This window comes from Homo sapiens, chromosome 7, assembly GCF_000001405.40.
Source record: "Homo sapiens chromosome 7, GRCh38.p14 Primary Assembly".
Lineage (NCBI taxonomy): Eukaryota > Metazoa > Chordata > Mammalia > Primates > Hominidae > Homo > Homo sapiens.
This window is the reverse complement of record NC_000007.14, coordinates 24,878,029-24,896,145: the sequence shown is the minus strand read 5'-3', so window position 1 is coordinate 24,896,145 and position 18,117 is coordinate 24,878,029. Positions and strand designations below refer to the sequence as shown.

Below are 18,117 nucleotides of genomic sequence, written 5' to 3'. Positions count from 1 at the left end.
CAAACACTGACATTAGGCAGAATGCACCAAAGTAGCCATAAAACCTGTTCCTGTAAGCTGGGGCAAGTCCTAGCTCTCCATCCTTAAGGCATGTTGACAAGTACTTGCAGGAGAGATTTACTCAGGGACAGCAATCTGCAAAAAGATCAGCTCCAGGGGACCAAGAAGCCTTTTTGGCAGGCCGTAAATGTTCTATTTTTTGATCCAGCTGATGATTATATGAGTATTTGCAAGTGTAACATTCTGTATGTGCACTTAAGATTTGTGCACTTTAGTATACCTGTTATTTCTCAGTACAAAATAAGGTGGAAATAAATGTTTGCCCTTAAATTATTCACAGTCTGTGAGCAGGGAAATTATCATATATTGTTGAAACCCATAAACCCTTTGAATTAGAGGTTTTCCATGGAAGGGTCTCCGGGTGGAGTGAAAGCACTCAGGGGTCTTTCATATGCACCATCCTGCCGAGGCCTCCTCTCTGGTGACCCCAGCCCATCCCTGTGGTGTCCCCTAGAGTGGACACAGTAGTTGCCTCCATCCAAGTGACCATCTTGGCACCTGGGATACCTTAGTCTTGGGCTACAGCTGCCTTCTTTCTTTATTCTTCCCTGTTTTAAGTAGTCATGCGTCGCTTAAGATAGGAAGCACTGTGAGAAATGTGACATCAGGCAATTTCATCGTTGTTGTGGGAACATCATAGAGTATACTTAGCAAACCTGAATAGCAGAGCCTGCTACACACCCGGTCTATGTGGTACAGCCTACTGCTCCCAGGCTACAAACCTGTACAGCATGATACTGTCCTGAATACTGCAGGCAGCAGTAACACAATGTAAGGACTTGTGTAACTAAACACAGAGAAAGTACAGTGAAAATACAGAATTATAGTCTTATGGGACCACCAGCGTATACATGGGCTGTCACTGACTGAAACCCCATGATGTGGCATGCGACTATATATCCTTCTCTTGAAATTTGACTTCCTTTACTTTTTAGGCTGCTTTTGGTGGCTTTAACCAAATTCCTGATGAGGCTAGGCAGGAAGGTTCTAGGGGATGAAATAGATATATTTCCCCGGGCAACAATCCCAAAACTCCACCTTGTGGCTGGGCATGGGAGGGGCTGCGGGTCCCCTCTCTTTCTTTCCCAGAAGGGGAAAGGAGACAGGGGTAGGGGTCACCAGGGGGTCATGCTGGCAGAGCCCTTGGCTCTAAGTGCCAACTTTGATAGCTATTGGATTTGGCCTACTAAGTCCTGGCTGTTGCCTCCCAACTGAAATTCTGCAGGACAAAGAGATAAAGATGACCCTGTATCAGCTGCCTCTAGGACAGGGTTGTGGTGTTTCTGTTTTGGTGGTTTTAGAATTCCTGTAACTTTCATTTATTGCCCACGTTTCTCTCCCTTTACATTGCACACACACCCCTCTCATCCCAGACTCTTGTAGACTCTCGTTTAACAGAACCTCAGCCTTAAAGAAAAAACAAAAGCAAAGCTTGTACACACACACACAAACACTCCGCTGGTATTCCTAATCCACTGTGGAATCTGTTGCCATAGCAGTGGATGCCCCCTCCCCGCCCCAAGCACAGACACACATTTCATCATTTGGGGCTCCCACCAGGTTTTTGATTTTTTTTTTTTCTTTCTCAAACAGCAACAGCCAACACTGCTTTTCCACAAACTATTAATATATCTTTACAGTACTCTCTTGCTACTTTTTAGATTGCATTTGCTTCTAACTTCAGGTACACCTAGTCATGCCCCCATCAGTAAGGCTAATTTTATGAAGAGGCTGGTGCTGGTTTGCTTTTAGTCTTACTTATTATTGGATCCAATACTAAATGAATAAAGAGATTTGGGGAGTTACCTAAGAGTAACATGGGAATTGAGCTCTATGGCTCTGGGCACCTTAATTTCATTTTCTGAGATTTTGTATTTCTTTTCATTGTTTTGATTCTAGCTTATTGCTTTAATGTACTCTTTTTTATTTTTGAAGAACTAAGTGTTAATGAAGGTGTAGGAAAGAGTATATGATAATTAGCCAGGTTTGATATCATAGTTAACTAGCTGGTTCCTAGACAAATATATGATACTCTTCTTTTTATAATTAGACTATGTGAACATTAATAATGGAATGGGTTGGAGATATATATATATATGTATGTATATTTTGATGTTGTTAACCTGCTTAGGAAAGCTGTAGAATTTACTTGAACTTAGTGTGTTAAATAAAGTCCTGGTTTTCTGAAGCCAAAACCAAACATGTTAGTTACTCTTAACCCAGGGCTGTGGGAGAAGCCAGTGATTCTAGGCCCACATTTCCTCTTTGAAAACTAGAAACCCCTCCATCAGGGCAAGACTCCCAAAGAGCTGCAGCCTCCACCCCCCCGTCCCCCCCGCCCCGCCGCCCGGTTTCAAGCGATTCTCCTGCCTCAGCCTCTTGAGTAGCTGGGATTACAGGCACCCACTACCGTGCCTGGCTAATTTTTGTATTTTTAGTAGAGACAGAGTTTCACCATGTTGGCCAGGCTGGTTTCGAAATCCTGACCTCAGGTAATCCTCCCACTTCGGCCTCCCAAAGCGTTAGGATTACAGGCATGAGCCACTGAGCCCAGCCTAGTTCCAGAATATTCTTATCACACCAAAAAGAAACTGTAGCCATTAAGCAGTCACTCTACTCTCCCCTCAGTAACCACTAATTATTGGCCTTCTGTCTCTATGGATTTGCCAACTCTGGATATTTCATATGGAAACATACAATGTTTATTTTTTTGTGTCTGGGTTATTTGACTTAGCCTAATGTTGTCAAGGTTCATTGATGTTATAGCATGTATCAGTACCTCATTCCCTTTAATATCTGAATAATATTCCATTGAATGTATATATGAGATTTTGTTCATCCATTCATCAGTTGATGGACATTTGGGTTCTTTCCACCTTTGACTATTGTGAATAACATTGCTATGAACATTGGTCTGCAACTTTTTGTTTGAGCACCTGTTTTCACTTCTTTTGGATCTATACCTAGGATTGGAATTACTGGATCATATGATAATTCTATGTTTAAATTTTTGAGAAATAGAACAGCTACCAAACTGTTTTCCACCACGGCTATGCCATTTTACAGTTCCACCAGCAATGTCTGAGGGTTCCAATTTCTCCATACTCTTTCCAACACTAGTTATTTCCCATTAAAAAAATTATTATAGCTATCACAGTGGATGTGAAGTAGTGTCTTACTGTGTTTTAAGATTTTTTATAGTACTGATTTTGTATGTGTCTGGACTCAAATTTTTGTATTAATGTTCTTAAGCCTGCTATATTGCAAAGCTACATGAAAAACCACCTATACAAAATTCCCTGTAAGAGAATGGTGTAAAGCTTCTTTTCCTTCTCGGCGCCTGCTATAGCTAAACATCGTGAGTCTGTAATCTGTAGTATGTTTAAGCCACTTGCAGACAATTTGTGGCAAATTAGAGATGATATCTGATGCCTCTGACCTTCTTTCTAATTTCTCTTTTTTAGGTTTTAGGGTTTCCTTTGGGCCACCCAAAATGTTTTTTAAATACTTTGGATAAGAGCTAAACCACCTGCCACTGGGGACTTCCATACTCTCGGCTCCCTTGTCATCTGATGGCATTTTGATTGTCTCGAGGCCAAGTGACTTGCTGTCCATGATGAGTGATGAGAAGAACCTTGGTGTGTCCCAAAAATTGGTATCACCTTCAAGGAGCACAAGTAGCTGCTCTTCCAAGCAAGGAAGTCGACAGGTAAAGTTTAACTCATGCAAATTTTAATATGCAAATGTAAGCCATCAAGTTTGCTGGTTAAAATGCACACATTTACTTGGGAAAGCCTACTTCTCAGTTTAAGAGCATTTACTTTTGGTTATCTCTTGACTGTATGAGGAGAGTAAATTCTGTATAATTTTAATAATGTGTGCCTACCAGGTGGGAAGAACTGCATTTGGTTCTTCGTATAATTTTATTTAATTCTTGCAACTGTCCCCCAATGTAGATTTTAACATCTTCATTTTCCCCATGAGGAAGCTGACTCAGACTGACCAGGTTACTTGCCCAAGGACACACAGCTAATAAGGAGCAAAGAAAGAAGCAAAGCTCAGTCTGTTTGGCTTCAGAGCCCACACTTTCCTTTATATCCTGCTAAGCAAAACAAAAAAACAATCAATCATTTTTCTGGTAATTATAATATCCACCCCAACTTTCTTCCCTTCATCAAACCTTTTATGGCAGCTTGTAACCACAGATTGCCCTGTTAGTAGCTTCGAGACTCACCTGCTTTATATCTATAATGGATGAGGTAACCTAATCTACAGAAAAATGGTCCAAAGAAATTAAGTAGGAGGAAGAAAGAACTGAAACAAAGGAATGAATAATTAACTCCTAAATAACTGTTGAGTAATTATATATTGTTTCTTGGTTTCCTTTCTAATAAATCTTTGTTGGCAGAATTTGCTGGTTTTAGATCAGTGGCAGTAAATGCACATTAATCATTATAATTCTTCCCCCAGCAGTTAGATGGAGAGAGAATGAGCTGTCAGAAAGCTGAATTTATGACCAAAGTGGTCTCTGAGCCTTTTCAGCACCTGCTGCTTCTGTTGGCATTTCCTTTTCCTCATGGGAAGTGCTGGCCTGAGAAATCACCCAGAGTCTTTGGTTCCAGAATTGGAAGCAGCAATTAAGCAACTCCCACCTCAGTCACGTCTACACGTTTATGACACATCATCAGGGGTCTGTCCAACTGAGCGTTGCCTGGGATAAGGAGCTTTGCCACCCATGAATCTGTGATTCCAGGAAATTAGATTTTGCCACAGACCTGACATTTGGGAAGCCCTCCAGGATCTCCCCTGAGGGGTTAAGGAGAATTTTGTCAGCACTGTCATCGGTTCCTTCTGGAATTAAAAAAAAAAAAAATAAGAAAAGACTAAAATTAGTCATTGGCTAATGCATCATGGCTCCCTGCAGTTCTGTTTTCATGAGGGTCACTGTGCTTGTCCTCTTTGTCAGCTTTCCACAGGAGTATTTTTCTCCCTAAGCCAAAACTCTGGTTGGGATTAAAACAGTATGTGGTATATCCCCTACCTGCGCCATCTTCCTTACACCTAGGGGTTGTTATGTCCTTCTTTGATAAAGGGGGAGAACATGATTCATTTAAGTAGCAGGTGGTGATTACACCATAGGAATTGGAACAGTACAATGAAATTCTCAGATCAAATACTACAGAAACTTTTTTCAGTGTGTTATTTGGAATTGATTTGGTTTTCACAAAGCTTTTTTGGAAGTTACATCATGAAGGGTAAGAGGAATGTGCTTGATGCCTCAACTTTTTTCTGACTTGGAATGCTTGGTCAATCAGTCACTCATTCATCAAATGGTCATCTTTTATATTTAGGGTCTCCTGCTTTAATATGCATACACTGTGACTTTATAAATGGAGACACTTATATTTCCTCTGTGGCAGAGAAGGTGGAGAATTTATTAAGTTTATTTTAACTTCAGCCTGAAGTTAGTTATAAAGCCCATGTTTGATTTCCAGAGGTCATTTTCTTGGTCCGTCTGCTTTCTCATCCTTCTGTCGAAGAAAGGTGTTCTGTCCCAGGGTATGCTTAGTGTTTCCATCCACGGGGTCCACCTTGGCCCCCATACCCAATCTGCCTTCACAAACTGGCCCAAGATTGTGCTTCAGTCTTTAAAGGTGCTGCAGAGGTGCAGGAACCTTTGAAGCTTTCCTCACTTAGGGCACAGCCATTTCCGATGGTCTGTCGGTTGCTAAATACAAGGATGACACTGTGTTTCCAGTCACGTCACTGAAGAGTACCAGTTAAACACTTAAAACTTCAAGATTTACATAGTAAGAAATTTAATTAGAGGAATATGAAAATATAACTAAAGATAATCTGTACAAATACCAACTTGTATTTCAAACACCAGTTTAAAGTCATTTTCAAATTGCTTTCTTTCTTTCATCTGGAGGGGATACATCTGATATTGATTTTATTGGTCATTTTTCTTAGTGCTAGTTTTTCTCATGTGCTTTGGAATTGCAGCTTAGAGCTTCATCTAGAGATTGTTTTCCATGTATTCTTTCTCTGCGCTCACCCTGACCCATCTAGGGATTTGCTGTTGCCAACTTCCTACCTCCCAGGACCCCAGTGCAGAGTCAAGTCTAATATTTGCAGCAAGGGCCTTCTGTTCCATGATGATGATGGACCCAGCACCAGGCCCCAGACAGCATAGCCCAGCGCCTGGCTGTGAGGCTGTGTCTCCCTTCTCACCTCTCCCTGGGCAAGCAGATCTTTAAAGCTCTCTTTCATTGTGGTGTGGGGGCTTCCCCCTCCACAGTTTCAGATTTCCAGTAGTGAGCCTGGCTCAGGTCCCAGCCTTTTCCTGATGACATTTTTCTCCTCATTAGCCCTCAGAAACAGGCTAATGGACACCTTTGTCTACAGTATACTTCACATTTCTATTTGGTTCTGATCCATGGAGATACTTAATCTTTTTTTTGCCACATTATTCTTTTTTTTTCAGGTTTGTTGAGCTAATAAATGACAAATGAAAGTTGTATATATTTATGGTGTATAATGTGATGTGTTGATACATGTACACTTTAGGAAGTGATTACCCATTATCAAGCTAATATACCCATCACCCCCCATAGTTATTTGTGTGTGTGTGTGTGGTAAGAACATTTAAGATCTACTTTTATAGCCAATTTCAAGTGAATAATGCAGTATTATGAACTACAGTCAGCATGGTGTTACATTAGATCCCCAGAACTTATCAGACCCTGCTAACTACCATTCCATCCTCTGTTTCTGTAAGTTTGACTTTTTTAGATTCCACATGTAAGTGAAATCATGCAGCATTTTTCTTTCTGTGCTTGGTTTATTTCACTTAACATAATGTCCTCCAGTTCATCCATGTGATTGCAAATGACAAGATGTCTTTCTTTTTTAAGGCTGAATAGTAGTCCACTGCATAAGTATATGCACCACATTTTCTTTGGAAATATTTAATCTTGTTTCTTTATCACACAGACACAAAGGAGCCCTACATGTTTATAACTTTGTATATTTTTGCCATATTTGGAGTGAGGGTGGCATTTTGTATATTTTTGCCATATTTGGAGTGAGAGTGGCAATAGGGAAGGGGCATTAAATGCATGAACTTAAAACACCATCTTAGCTGGAAGACATGGTTTTTTAAAGTCATTTTTACTTAAATTCTCATCCAGTATTGCCAGGTGACCTTGAGAGTATCTGTACTTCAGCCACACTAGTTTTCTTTCACTTTCTGGAGCTGAATTTTCTCTTGTCCTTGTTTCTTGAACTGAACTTAAACTTGAACCTGGTCTTCCTATCTCAGACCTATTCATATAAAATCTCAAGGAGCTATGTGTTTATGTAGAGATACTGTCCTACCTATATACCTATGTTAAAAGAGCTTGCTTCCTTGAAGGAGAAAATGATTGAGACCTAGGTGTTTTCATTTTTACATCTGACCTAAGACAAAATGTACAACTTAGGGCCATGAAAACCCTAGGAGGAGGGTTCTATCATCTTTTAACTTAAATACTGGGGCTCCTGAGATTTTAAAAACAATAAGCCTCACTTTGCCAGTATGAAAACAACCTGTCAATAAAATCTCTTCAAGATAATTTGAGGAGAAAGGTATGCATAGTGATTAGAACATTAACTCTCCAATCTTGGGTCCACCCATTAATTGGTTCTGTGACCTTAAACTCTCCAAACCTCAGTTTTTTCATCAATAAAATTGGAATAATAATAGTTCTTTTCTCATAGCATTGTGGTAAGGATGAAAAATAAGCACTTATTCCAGGGTCAGACTCAGGATAGGTGCTGAGTAAATATAAATGTATGTTTTTATCATTATAATTAACATTAATTTGACCTTCAAGTCTTATTTGTGAAAGTCCTGAATGCCCATAGTGAATAGTTCTAGCTTTTTTTCTCCCAGGAACTTTTACAGTATCATACGTGTATCCACTCATACCTTTTTAGTGTTGTACAAAAGCCCACTAAAATATACACTGTATATGTGAATATATACTTTTAAAATAAAAAATGCCTTACTCTACACATTAATAAAATGCTTTTGTGACGAATACAATAGAATGTTTAATAATTGGGCTACATTTGACATCTTTAGGCATAACCTATACCTAAAACAAGTGAAAAAAGTTGATGAATTCTTACCCCATCCTGCTAAGCCTTGCCCTTGCTTGGGTGGTAAATGATTTTCCCCTCTCGCCCTCTATGCCAGCATCTATCTCTTGGTAGTAGCTGCACAGAGCATTGTGTTAAGAAGGACTTTGCAGCTGAGTCTGCATTCAGGGGAAAGATTGCCGTGTTTTTAGCTGTGACTTCTGGGCATAAGGCAGGGAGAGCACAGCATGGACATTGTGTTTGTCACCCCTTAGTGATAGAGAAGAGTTAAAATCAAGAGCTCTCTGTTGCAATCTTTATATTGTGTTATTGGATGAACTTCAGGCAAGTGTAGGTTGTCTCAGTTCTCCATTCATAAAATGGAGGAAAACTCAACTCCTGCTTTTTCCTGTGGAATGCGGTAAGAGAAAATTGAGTGTTTTCAGTGGCTAAAAGACATTGACAGTCTTTGGAGAAAAGTCCTCTGTAAATTTAAGAAACTGGTATAATTACGGATGAGCTGCTTTTACTTTGGCCAGTTCTGGAAGCAGAACTCACATGACCTTGTTTCAAAAACCGTGACACTCTACAGAATTGGTTCTTTTTGAAGTAGATCACTTTTCAGATATCGTGTCTTCACCATAGAGGAATCTACTTTTCTTGTAGGAACTAAAGGGACCCTGCTTATAAGAAAAAAATAGGTTGTTGGTCCCTCCTGACTGTCTTAATCATACCCTATTATTCTAGAGTTCTAAGTGGATCTTCAGTGTTCTTCCTCATCCCAGGTTTTGGCTCCACTATTCCTTTAGCTAGAATGATCTATGAAACCCTGCTGCCCTTTTGAATTATGTCATTTCCTTAGCAAGAATTTTTATTTATTGCTTAAGCATTTAAAGTGATTTTTATAAAAACAAGATTGCTCATTGTAAATCATTTACATAGTAAATGTGAATTGCTATTCTTTAATTAACTTGTGTTTAAATAGCTGCTGATAGGTCAAATAAAATGCCTGAAAATGACCGTGGTTTGTGCAGGTCATTGGTGTCATTGTCAAATGGTTTCCTTGCAGTCCTGGGGATGAAAGGCTGATTAGAGTTGATTCATGAGAGACAAGGAACAGAGGAATGGAACAGCCCAGTTCTGCCAGGCCCCACGACAGGATTTGAGAGAAGCCTTCACAAATGTTCTGGTTTGGAACCTTGAGCTTGGCTAATACCATGCTTAACACTGCCATCGTCTTTCCTCTTTCAATTGCTTCATTGGTTAAAAAAGTATATGGTTGTTTAAGTACTGGGTCCTGTTTATACATCCTTTTATTTCTCATAGCACCTAGGACAGGGCTTTGCATGTAGAAGATACAAATCGTCGGACTGAATTTATTGAAAACCAGCGACAAATATCCTTCTATTGGGGCAGGTGAGAATGTATGGCCAGGTATACATGGAGAACATGCGGGAGCAAAAAGCCCACAGATTCTTAAGCTCTTCCACTCCAATGACAGTTGTGAGGATCTGTAATAAAATGAAGAAGGGCTTCCCCATTGATTTTATTCTGGCAAATGATGGCATCCATAAATGTTCTTCTATACCTGTGGTCTGTGAAGGAACTACTCTATTGAACGTCTGGAACAAAAGTAAAGACGCAGCTCTAGAAACTGATGCTTGTTCTCACCGGTTTTGCTTTTTGCCTGCTGGATAACCTTGCCATGTTTTTTTTAACACATTCTGGGTCTAAGCTTTTTAGCTGCGAAATTTGGATAATTTTGCTTACTTTTGAGAACTAAATGAAACAGTAAATAAGAAGCATCTAGACTAGCATAGGGGAAACATTCAGTAAGTGTAGATTAAATTAATGAATGAATAAACATGCAGTTGCTTAGTAGAAAGATTACCATTCACAAAGTCTTGTAGATACATTAAGTGGGTTAAGGAATATCTAAGTGGGAGGGAGAATTGCTATTTTAAAATGTGTAAAATATGAGTAATTGCAATTTCCTCTTGTCTTTTTCCCACTGCCCCCTTACATTTCCTTCCTAGAATTTTCAAAGTAACACATTCCAGAGGCCAGATTAGCTTGATAAAGATGACCAAGTATGCTTTGTCTTTATCAAAAGAGTCCTATAGCCTTGAGTTTTATTTCTTCAGCCAATATGTATTGAGAGCCTGTTATTAAAAGGCCCTGAGCAGGGATATACGAAGCTATGAAGGACAGGACAGCTGAACAGTTCATCATAAATAAGAAATCAACTCTGATTGGAAAGAGTATGAGTGGTAAAGAGAGCACAGCCTCTATTCAGTTTTAAAGTGTATTGTTAGCATTTGGCATAGAAGTTAGCAATAGAGAGTAAATCCTGTCAAAATAATTGACAAGTGCTTCACTCATGATTGCAGGGGTTTTGAAATGGAGAGATCTATTGCTAGGTAAGTTTCCATACAATTATGCAATTCACTCTTGTCACCCTGCTGTTTCTGGGCTGAACTACAGTGGCTTGAACTCTCCCAGGGTCACCTGATGAGAGCTTATTTATGCAGGGTATTAGATTATGCCGCACTCCAGAGAGCCCAGCCTGGCTGGGCTCAGGGCCGGAACTCATAAAACAGGTGAGTGGAATGGGGAAGAATTTGCCAAGGAGGGAAAAGTGAATTAACACTTTAATAATGTCCAGGTGTTTATCATTTCAGCTGTCTGGGTATTGAAAATGGTTAGTCCCATTTCTTTCTTTTTTTTTTTTTTTGTTTTTGAGACAGAGTCTCACTCTGTTGCCCAGGCTGAAGTGCAGTGCTGCAATCTTGGCTCACTGCAACCTCTGCCTCCTGGGTTCAAGCGATTCTCCTGCCTCAGCCTCCTGAGTAGCTGGGACTACAGGTGTGCACCTGTAGTACCACCATGCCCTCAGGTGATCCACCCCCTTCGGCCTACCAAAGTGCTGGGATTACAAGTGTGAGCCATCACACCTGGCCCCATTTATTTCTTTCAATTTCATAATGTCTTTAGAGATACTAAGATTTAGCATCTCTAAATTTATTTCAGTATTCAGTATAGGCTGAATAAACACCACAAGAAAGTCCAGTCAAGGAGGAGGGACCTTGGAAACATCGTGGTTGTCTCACACTGTTCTATGATGATCATAGAAGAGGAGAGGCAGCGAGCATGAACTCTGGAGCCAGATGGCCAGTGTTTGAATCTCCGGCTGTTTATAAGTTGTTTGATCTTGGACAAAGTTAATACCCTCTCTCTGCCTTGTTTTCTTATTAGGTGTAGGTTGCTTAGTTTGAAGAGCGCCTGTAGTAGGAAGTGCTATGTAAGTGTTTGACAAATAAACATTCGCCTTTTGTGAGCAGAGGAGTCCCGGGAGCCCTTAAGCAATGTCACAGCTGCTTCCCTGCTTCATCTTTTCAGCTGGGAGGTGGGTGGCACAGTGCAGGGGCAGGCAGCTTGGCTTGTGTCTAGGCTGCTCTCAGGAAGACTCAGCATGGGACACTCGAAGTGAAAACTCTCCGATAGCATCTTCACAGCTCATAATATCCTTTCATGCTACCCTTTGGAGTCTCAGCACAACTCAGTGGGGTCTGTAATGTTTCCCCCACTGTGGAAAGGAAATACAGCCCAAAGATATTAACTGATTTGTTTGGAGTCCCATGGCTAATAAATGGTAGGTGACCCGGCAACCAACTGTTTGGAGAGCACTGGGTTTCTTTAGATGCTAGAAGACTTCTTCAGAAGTTAATTCAAGTTCCATGCCTTATGTACAAATGGTTGTTATTTAAACAAGCCTCCCTCAGCTCACATCTTTATGAATGCAGGGCCAAGAAGAACGTGGATGATTGAAGTAGCCTTAGGATCCCTGTTTGCCTGGAGCTGTTTTTTTTTGTTGTTGCTGTTGTTGTTTGTTTGTTTGTTTTCTAGTGGACCCCACTGAGAAAAATAATTAACTATATAGTTCTTATAGTTTTCTAGATTCTCATTTTCTGGGCCTTTTACTTCTCCTCCTTACTGCTGACCTTTTAGCCACCCCTATGGTTATAACATACCTCAGAGGCAGGAAGGCTGAAGAAATAAGACTGAGCTCTCAATATATTTCCACTCTGAGTAAGTCTTATAAGACACAAACAAACATTTGATATCAGAAGAGGTTAAAGTATCAGCTCAAATGACATATTTGAGTTGTCAGGACTTCTTTGTTCCTCTCCACATCCACAAATGACAGACTGTCAGCTGCATTCCACACTCTGAAGATCACGAGAAACTGAAATCTTAAAACACTTCCAGAAAGTTGCTGAACTGTCTGTATTGTTCTGCAATCCTGGAATAATAATCACAGCAAATATATTTGGGTGAGATTTAGAAATATTACTTTGATGAAAACTGCATGGGATGCCTTAAGAAAATAAATATATTTATTCATGGTTGGCAGTGGGCACATTTAAGATACAGGAAGGCAGAACCCTGGCCCAGATGCTCTGGTTGAGAGCACAGCATAGCAGCTGTACAAGGTAATGGAATGTTCTCAAGAAGCTATTGATGCAAATGTGAACTGAGCTGACCGATTCAATAGCTCTTTCCTGGGGAGGGGAAAGTCTGCTTCAGTAATTTGATAATATTAAAATACTAAAGGTCCAGAAGTGACAGTGCAAGAAGTAGGACAGAGGCACAACAGAAGACTTCCCTAGTGTCATCTGATATCCCTCTAAAACCTACACCCTGGCCCTACCGTCAAGTTCAGCTGTGTTTTCCACTGCATCTGTTCACAAGCCCACATCACCCTAAATCACCTCCTCTCTGTTCCTACTTCAGATGAATCACATTCCTGGCACATCTTGGCCCCGTGGTCCCTGGGGCCCTGTGTAGTGAGCTGAATCATAAAAAGACATGTTCACTTCCTACTTAATTAAACTAAAAAGTTTCTGCACAGCAAAAGGAAAACAGTGAACAGACTACCTGCAAAATGGGAGAAAATATTTGCAAACTATGCTTCCAACAGGGAACTAATATCCAGAATATACAAGGAACTCAAACAGCTCAACCACAACAACAAAAAACAAATAATCTCATTAAAAAACAAGCAAAGGACATGAATAAACATTTTTCAAAAGAAGACATACAAGTGGCCAACAAGTATATGAAAAAATGTTCAACATAATCATCAGGGAAATGCAAATCAAAACCACAATGAGATATCATCTTATATAAGTCAAATGACTATTAATACAAAGACAACAACATGTTGGTGAGGATGCAGAAGAAAGGGAACTCTTTCACACTGTCAATGGGAATGTAAATTAGTACAGCCTCATCAGAAAACAGTCTGGAGATTTCCCAAAGAACTAAAGAACTACCATGTGATCTACTGGGTATCTTGCCAAAGGAAAAGAAATAAATATATCTAAAAGGTACCTGCACTCATATGTTTATTGCATCAGTATTTACAATATCAGAGATATAAAATTAACCTGTTTCCACCAATGATTGCATGGATGACGAAAATATATACACACATGGAATACTGTTGAGCCATCAAAAAGAGTGAAATCATGTATTTTGCAGCAACATGGATGGAACTGGACCAGGTCATTATCTTAAGTGAAATAAGCCAGGCACAGAAAGACAAATATCACATGTTCTCATAAGTGAGTGCTAAAAAATGTATTCAGGTGGACATAGAGAGTGGAATGATCTAGATAATGGAGACTCAGCAGGTGAGGGTGGGGGAGGGAGGAGGGGGAGAAATTAGGTAATGGACACAATGTACGTGGTGATGGATACCCTGAAAGCCCTGACTTGACCACTATGCAAACTGTGTATGTAAGAAAATTGCACAGGTACCCTATAAATATATACACTGTTTTAAAAGAAAAAGATGTATCCACATCCTAATGCTGGAAGCTGTGAATGTTACCACATTTGGAAAAAGGACCTTTACAGATGTAATTAATTTAAGGATTTGAGATGAGTAGGGCAGCTCAGATTATCCAGGTGGGCCCTAAATTCACTGACAAATGTCCTTATAAGAAACACGTTCGGGAGAAGACAGACATAGAGGAAAAGGTGATGTGATGGTGGAGAGAGAGATTGGAGTGATGCAGCTACAAGCCAAGCCATGCCATGGAATGCTGGCAGCCACCAGAGGGAGAAGCAAGGAATGAATCCCCCTGAGATCCTCCAGAGGGAGCGTGGACCTGCCAACACTTTGATTTTGGACCTCTGGCCTCCAGAACGGCTAGAGAATAAATATCTGTTTATTTAAGCCACCAAAGTTTGTGACTGCTCATCAAGTTGGCCTCAGGAATCTAAGACACCCTGCTGCTTACTGTGTGTCATTTTTTCTGGGAGTCCCAGCTCATGTGGATCTAGGCTTTGGAGATTATGCCTGTCTGAACTCCTGCAGCAGGTTTGTGTGAATCTCCCATTTGACAATTTACAAATTTTCAACCTTGTGGTATCCCTTTTATTAACATTTGTAATGTATGTTAGCTTTTTGAGATCCAGCACTTGATTTTACATCTTTGTATCTCTAGTTCCTGATAATGAGCTTTGGACCTTTAAGCAGGGACCCCCCTATTAAAAAGAAGCTCCGTTACAAACTGGACTATAACATACTTGGCACTAAAGTCATTCCTTCTTTGATTTGTAAAGTTCTCTGAGATCTTAACATTGTCACTAGGTTCTCATTATGAGAACCAGTTATTGTGTAGCACTGTGAAAATAATTCACTTCTGATTTGGATCAAGATAAAGAAGAGTTTATTGTGCTAAACTTCTGCCACCTACTCCTGTGATTCTAAGTCATGCATGTGTTGATTAGTCAGAATGTATCTCTGCTTTGATTGCAAATTTCAATTAGCTCTGAAAAAATAGTTTTGAGCACTCTGTAAGAGAGAGCACTGTTCTCAGCTGGTGCTGTCCAGCAAAGCAGTGGGTCTCCTTGAAGAGTCATGAATGCCCTGTAGTTGGCATACAAGAGTATTATATCTGAGTGCAGAGTCTGTGATTCTCTTCTGTGCTCAGACACCAAAGGGCAGGGCTCTGTGACATGTCACTGAAAGGTTTTTTTTAAATTAAAATATAATAAAGGTAAAATATTAAAACAGTCCTGGGTGATATAAAAAGGAAAAATATCTCACCTCAGGCCCCAGTCCCATTCACACAGGAGCCTGTTTTGGAGTTTTTCTCCCCTTCATACAAGGTGTGTGCTCATGAGTTGGAGTCAAAAGACCTGGGTCCTGGTCCTTAAAAGCCCCTCACTCATTTTTCGCAGCCCCAAACAAATCACTCAGCATAGATTCCTCATCTCTAAATGAAAGAGCTGGGTAAATGACTTCTTCATTCTGTGTCACACTCTGAGACTTAAATATTCCATGATGGTACAGGAAAGCCAATCATTATGGTGTACTTTGAAGGCAAGAGAAAAACTCAGAAGAGACCCTTGAGTCACTTGGGTGGACAGAGCTATCTTGTCTTTATTGACTAAGCCACAAGTGTATGGAGGGCAGAAACATGCCCCTGGAACAAAAGACAGACTTGTTCCGCTGGGGGAGAGAGTAGGGGGGTGAGAGGCAGGACTGGTAGGGGAGGGTCAGTAGGTGGCCCTGGATGGGCTCAGCTGAGTGCTAGTTTGCTTCTAGGTGATCTTATCCACAGTGGACACTCAGCTGCGAGGTTCTGCGTGGGATCTCAAGACGCAGTCTGCAAATGGGTTCTGCCTCTTAATAGTTTGTGATCTTGCACAAACTAATTTGGAGCTTCAATTTTCTCATCTGTAAAATGAGGATAATAATGCTTTCATTATAGAATCACCACAAGGTACATATATTAAAAAAATAGTAGTTGTCACTTTTATAACTATAATCACTACCACAATAGCAACTATAAAAACCCCATCACCACCCCAGTGGGCTGCATGGCCAGAGAGGAATGACATTTATGGGCTGGATGTTTTCATCTTTAATAGTCTAAGAGACCCTGCTTACCGAACAGAGCATTAGGAGGAGAGAAAAATGCATAGAAGATGCTGTTTGTAGCTTTAAGGGGCTTGATACAATTAGGGGAATATTTAACAAATATTAATGGCTTCCCAATATATCTGAGGGGCCTAAAAACATGCCAAAGTAATTGTAGCCATAAATGCTGAGTGAGTGATCAACAGCGTGGAAATAGTCATATGTACATTGAAGTGTTTTTATTAATGCTATTTTAATTATAAATCCGTCTGTGGTCAATACAGTTGGAAAGCGTTTTTCTCTTTGGAAACTCAGGATGGGAATGACCTCAGGTGGAGCCACTGACAGAGCTGGCAGCCCACAGGATTTTATCTCCTTGTTGTCAGTATCAGCTGCTGGCAAGGACTGATTTTCCTTCCCTTTCTCAAGGGTTCACCACAAAGACAGCATGAATATTCTCCCATTATCTAAGTAATGAAGGCACCAGTGTTTTTGGTCTGTGGCTAACCAAGTAGTAAGACTTGAAACATTCTGGGGCCTGAATTATCTGGATATTCACTTCCCTAGCTCTGGCCTGAGGTTGGAGAGCTACATCTGTGTGTGAAGGGAAAGAAGGGATGGTGACGGTGGCGGGTGATGACTGCTACTCCCATTTAGTCATCAGAACCCAAGTGGGAGCTTCATTGCTCAGTCTCCTGTTTTCTTTAATCTTCTCACTTAGATCCCAAAGTCAGGGATTGTACTTGAGGTTATAGAGCTAATGCAAATGCTGCTGTTTAGTATGACATGAGTTTATGATAGAAGATTTAGAAAGGATCTCATAGCTCACTTGTTCTAAACTCCCTGCCAGTCTTGGAATCTTCTCTGTGGTGCCTCTGCCAGGTGACCACCAGCCTCTGATGGAGCACTCCAGAGACTTTCATAGATCAGCCATGTTTTTGCCATTTTTCATAGCACTCATTAGATAGTAAGACAACCCATCCTTTAGGCAAAGCTGGAATCCAGGGCCTTGTAGTTCCCACCCGTTAGTCCTGGTTTTGCCTTCAGATTCTGTCAAGTCAAATCCCAATTTTTTGAGACAGCCTGGTCTCCTGGAATGTGGCTACTCAAGTTGGGCTTATGGTCCAGCAGCAGTGATAGCCTCATCTGTGCAGGTGCAGAATCTCAGGCCTCCCCCAGACCTACTGAACTTAAATCTGCATTTTTAACAAGATCTCCAAGTGATTGACATGCAAATTACAGTTTGAGAAGCACTGAGTGAGAGCTCATACACTACCTTTCTCCCAACTAATTTTTTCTTTTCTTAAAAATTGCCATTGCTATCAGGCCTGCTGGTGCTAAACAAACAAACAAAAAACCATAGCTGAGAAACATTTAACAAGAAACAACAACTCCAGTTCTCAGTGATTGAAATGTGAGTACAGTTTTGGTCTAGCATCAGTTAAAGCTGTCATTCTATTAATTGAAAATCTATTGACAAGTATTGTCAGTGTTCATAGAACAATCATAAAAGGTAATATTGATGATCGTTAGCCTTTCTTAATAGGCCGTGGAAGATCTTGAATGCCTTTAAAATCATTAAAGACACATTAAATTACATGATTTAAGGCTGGGTATTGCCTTGTGATTTTTAAAAAACTGATAAACGGATTAAGTGAGTAATCAGGACACCCGTTTTCCAACCATGCCTGATAGAGGCAACCACAAAACTTTCTTCCCCAACACTCTTGAGCTGCAAGAAGAATAAAAGTTTTAATCGTTTTCTATTTCTGACATCACTGCAAGGGTAGTGACTGAGGATTCAGCATTTGAAAGGTGCCTGTGGAAACAGCTGTGCTGGAGGGAAGTGCTTTCAATTCGTGCACTCAGCAATATGGAAATTAACTTGGCCAGCGCATGAGCATGAATAAATGCTTAGCTGCCTTTGCAATCACAAAGCAGCTTTCTATCTTTGGCACTTTTCAGACATTCAGTAAAACAGACTAAATTTAATGCCA

The 18,117-nt window shown here is 40.4% G+C and overlaps 1 protein-coding gene across 42 annotated transcripts in view; it reads left to right on the top strand.

Moving 5' to 3' along the window:
* OSBPL3 (oxysterol binding protein like 3) overlaps positions 1 to 18,117 on the top strand; it is a 185,309-nt gene that overhangs the window by 85,700 nt on the left and 81,492 nt on the right. For all 42 annotated transcript variants that reach the window (XR_007060001.1, XR_007060007.1, XR_007060005.1 and 39 more), the window contains one exon: positions 3,525 to 3,769. Coding sequence is in view for 33 of the 42 variants with exons in the window: in XM_047420146.1 (XP_047276102.1) it covers positions 3,674 to 3,769 (96 nt within the window). In the remaining 9 variants the exon portion in view is untranslated. Of the gene's footprint in view, positions 1 to 3,524; positions 3,770 to 18,117 lie in introns of those variants that run through there.